The following is a 4965-nucleotide window of genomic DNA, read 5'->3' on the forward strand; positions in this document are numbered from 1 at the left end:
GACTAAGGGTGAGCAAGCTATAGCCTCTGTTTGAATGACCTGTGGGCTAAGAACGGTTTTTACAGATGAACATTTGAAATCAATTTAATGATAGGAAACACGAACTTTGAGCCCCAGTGAACTAAAATGTTATCTTCCAAAAAAGAACTTCATTATTCTTATTACAAGACCTATGTTACAAAAAATTATACTCAATTATTTACTTTGGGTTTACAGTTAAAATTTTGTAGCCAGGTGTGATGTCATGCACCTTAGTCCCAGCTATTCTGGAGACTGAGGCAGGAGGATCGCTTGAGCCCAGGAGCTCTGGGCTGTAGTGTGCTATACCAATTGTGTGTTCACACTCAGTTCAGCATCATTATGGTGACTTCCTGGGAGCAAGGGACCACCAGGTTGCCTAAGGAGGGGTAAACCAGCCCAGGTCAGAAATGGAGCAGGTTAAAACTCCTGTGCTGATTGGTAGTGGGGTCGCACCTGTGAATAGCCACTGCACTCCAGCCTGGGCAACTTCATGAGACCCCATCTCTTTAAAAAAACAAAAACAAAAACAGGCCGGGCATGGTGGCTCATGCCTGTAATTCTAGCACTTTGGGAGGCCTAGGTGGGCAGATTGCCTGAGCTCAGGAGTTAAAGACCAGCCTGGGCAACACGGTGAAATCCTGCCTCTACTAAAATTTAAAAAAAAATTAGCTGGGCGTGGCGGTGGGTGCCTGTAGTCCCATCTACTTGGGACACTGAGGCAGGAGAATTGCTGGAACCCAGGAGGTGGAGGTTGCAGTGAGCCGAGATCGCACCACTGCACTCCAGCCTGGGCAACAGAGTGAGATTCCATCTCTAAAAACAACAACAACAACAACAACAAATATCTTGTAGAAACACATTTCATCGCTTGTTATATGAATACCTGCATAATATCCTGGACTTTGCCTTTCTGCCTGCAAGCCTCTGTCAGCCCTCAATTAATGAGTTGTCTTATCTTCCACCTCAAATCTATCTTAAGCTATCCACCCTCCACTTTGCAGCCAGAAGGATCTTTCTAATGTAAGTCTGACCATACCATTCACCTGATTCAAACTTCCCAGTGGTCTATCTGTCCAGCTCCTTGGCTGGCATACAGCCCGCACAGTCTGGTTTCTGTCTTCCTTCCCAGCCACTCTCTACCCTCCAGCCATATTGAACTTCCAGTTCTCTAGGGCACCTTGCTTCCCCCAGGACCAGCATTTTACACAAGCTGTTCCCTCTGCCTAAGATGCTGTTCACTACTCAAATTCAATTCCTCCTTAGTCTTTTAAGTCATTTTAGACATTAACTCCACCAAAAAGCCATCCCTGATCCAACCTCCCTCCAGGCTGTGAGGTGCCTCCTCTTGGCTTCCGCAATTCCCTGCTTCCTTCCAGCCTAGCATTGATCACACTTTTGTTTTTCAGTGGTGTTTTTTTTTTTTTTTTTAGATGGAGTTTCGCTCTTGTTGCCCAGGCTGGAGTGCAATGGCGCAATCTTGGCTCACTGCAACCTCTGCCTCCTGGGTTCAAGGGATTCTCCTGCCTTAGCCTCCTGAGTAGCTAGGATTATAGGCATGCACCACCATACCCAGCTAATTTTTGTATTTTTAGTAGAGACTGGGTTTCTCCATGTTGATCAGGCTGGTCTCGAACTCCCAACCTCAGGTGATCTGTCTGTCTTGGCCTCCAGAAGTGCTGGGATTACAGGCGTGAGCCACTGCACCCGGCCTTGATCACACTTTTAAAATGTCTATGGCCTACACCAGACTGGGAGCCCCTCAGAGCAGAGGTTGGTCTGATTAAGCACTGATGTCCCCACTTCTCAGTGGCAAGGCTCCTGCTAGCTCCTACACTTTGGGGAGGGAGCAGGAGCTGGGTGTCAGGAGGCCCAGTCCATTTCCTTCCCTGGACTGCAGTCCCTCATCTGTATGTTGGAGACTGAGGGCCCCTGGCTGATCCTCTAAGGACTGGGAGTGAAATTTTGGGGGTAGGGACAGCAGCTGACCTCCAAGACACCCTTATCAGTCCTCTATAGGCAACCCCAGACGGACATGAGACTGGGCTGTGCAACAGGCGTGATCTGGGCCATTCCAGCCAAAGGTCAATCCTCAGTAGCCAGCTGCAACTGGCCTGGCCCTGGGCCCTACTTGCCCATCCCCCTACCGTCTCCTCCCCTGAGAGCCAGGAATAAAAGGGATCTTGGCTGGCCACACTTCTGGCGTGGGCTCAGGAACACGTGTGCAGACATGTATGTATGTCTATGGCTATGCTTCTGCAAGAACATCTATATGTGTGTATGGGCTTGTGTGAAAGCATGTACACACCTGTGCATGAGTCTGTGGGTGCATGTCTGTGCACTAGCATGTGTGCTTCACAAGCATAGTCACGCAAGTATGCTCCTGTGCCCCCATGTGTCTGAGGGTGCAAGACTCTGGGTGTGACTCTGTGCATGTTTATCAGCAGGCGTTGAGAGGAGAGAGGAGAGTCAGCCCCCTTCAGCCCTGCCAAACGATGACATCTGGTTCTTTGGGATTCCCCTGACCCTGTTCCCTGCCCTCACACTCCAATGCTCTCGTTTGAGGGGCCAGATTCTGGCATCCAGTCTAGAGGGACCCTCACCTCTTCTCTCATCAATCCTGTGCTTTGCAGGGAGATCTAGAATCCTGAAATAATCAGGATGAATCTAAGGGTGGTGAAGGGGACACTGGAATGCCCCACCAGATTCCCTTTTATCATTCTGTGTACACCATTCTATTGGCTTTTCTTGCTAACCACCTGCCTATGCAACTCTCCTGGCTTGCCTTGTACTACCGAAGACACTTTTCCCTATGTGCAGAGAGTATGGTAAATGTCTGGGAGTTACATTACCCCATTCTCCCCTCAGGTGACCCTCAGACTAAATGGCGAAAGGCACCTGCCTTGCTTTCCACTGGAACAAACTCTGGAGCAAAAGCCATCCCCTGGAGCTCCCCTGAGGGATCAGGCTGAGGTTGCACTGAACTTGAGTCACAAGCTTGCTTTGCTTTTCCCCTCCCCTGCCCTGATTCCCCAACCCCCTCTTTAGTTTCTCTCGTGGGCATTTCCTTCACAAACCAATAATCTCAGGGTTGGCTTCCAGGGAACCAACCTAAGACAGAGAGGATGAGCCTAGAAACCATGAACCCTGACTATCTCCCTGCACCACCAACGTACAAAGAGGACACTGAGGCTCAGAGAGGGGGTGTCTATCTACAGAGGCCCCCTCTTTGCATGCTGTACTTGCCTCCTTCATCTCCATCACCTACCTTACCACCACCTCCCCTGCAGGCCCCAGGTCCTCTCTGAAATGCCCTCAATATCCTTGGGTTAGAAAAGTTTCTTGAGCCTGCTTAGATCTCCCAATCCTGGGGGTGCCCGCTCATCTCTCCTTGGAGAGTGAAGCACTCAGGATTGAAAAGCAAAACAGAAAAAAAAAAGAGAGAGAGAGAAATAGAGAGAGAGATCTGAAGATGGGGATCAGCAAGGCAAGAATTCCTCTGCCAATGCCCCCTCACTGTCTCCAAGGGGGGACAACTGGGAGGCAAATGGGGTTCGGGTGGTAAGATCTCACTTCTCTTTCTCAGATGAGGCCGTGTATGGTAGAAAAGGTACTGTATTGGAGATTGGGAGACCTGGATTCCAACTTCAACTCTCTCATCACCTGACTGAATAAAGAAGCCCAACTTCAACTCTCTCCTCAACTGACTAAATAACTTTAAAGAAGTCAACCCTTCAGAGTTGAAACTTCAAGAGTTTCAAGAGTCAAAATATCTGAGTCAAAGCTCTGAAGAACTCCATTTCCCCATCTGTGGAACGGCAGCAGTGGAAGACAGAGAAGTGTAGCATTTCAGCGACAAGATTCCAGCCTCAAATTCACTTCCTAGGCAATCTCTTCGAATACACAAATCAGTTACTAGCCCCATCTGTGCCTTAGTTTCCTCATTTGTCGATGGAGATGATTGCAGGACTGACCTCACGGGTTGTTCTGAGGATTAAATGGGATACTGCACGTAGAGCCCTTTGCAGGTCCCCAGCACACAGCGAGCTTTAGATAGCTGGTGGCTATTTTTGCCCTTGTTATGTATCATTCCAGAGTTGTATAACTGGCTTGGTCCTGTGGCCTCACCAACTTGACACAACTCCTAGGCTCTGTATCAAAGGACATTGCACAGAGGAGACAATGTCTGGTGGAAGGAGAGTTTAAAGGGCTTCCCTTCTCCCAGTCTCACCTGCCCTGCCTCTAATGCCTTTCCTGGCTTCAGAAAGAGGAAACAGATTCCCCAGGGGCTCCGGGCACACAGCTGGGCTCCCAGGTGAGCTGATCCGTGTGGGATGAGTGTGCGGCTCTAACCTGATGTGGTCTGCTGAATAGCACAGTCAAATCCTATTTCCTTTCCATTTAGTGAAGTGGATCGAAATAATGCAGGCGTAACCTTTTCCCACTTTCCGTGCCAGCATTCATTCAGAGAGGGTTTTGTCATTGTTACTGATGTTGCTGTTTTTGTTTTATTGTGATTCTTCAGGTTAGAATGTATTTATTTTGTAGTATTTCTTTAAAATTTTTGAAATTATGGTGAAATATAAGGAACATAAAATTTACCATTGGAACCATTTTTAAGTGTACAGTTCAATGGTGTTAAGCACGTTCACATTGTTGGGTAACCATCACCACCACCCATCTCCAGAAAGCTCTTCATCTTGTAAAAGCAAAACTCCATTAAACAGTAACTCCCCACCCCTTTCAATCCCCTTGTCTTTGCTTTTTTTTGTTGTTGATCTGTGCAAGAATTGGGTTTTGTAGTATGATCTCTTTAATAAATATTCACCAATGGTTCCTGACCTGGCACTCTACTAGGCCTGGAATGCAGGGGGTACTTGAGGCTTATCATCAGCTCTGAAGGTTTAGGATTCAATAAGACTGAAAAAATGGAGGAAATTTTTTTTC

At 47.9% G+C, this 4965-nt stretch overlaps 1 pseudogene; it reads left to right on the forward strand.

Annotated features, from left to right (window-relative positions):
* Positions 230-527, forward strand: RN7SL786P (RNA, 7SL, cytoplasmic 786, pseudogene; annotated as a pseudogene).

Source organism: Homo sapiens, chromosome 11 (assembly GCF_000001405.40).
Source record: "Homo sapiens chromosome 11, GRCh38.p14 Primary Assembly".
Classification (NCBI taxonomy): domain Eukaryota; kingdom Metazoa; phylum Chordata; class Mammalia; order Primates; family Hominidae; genus Homo; species Homo sapiens.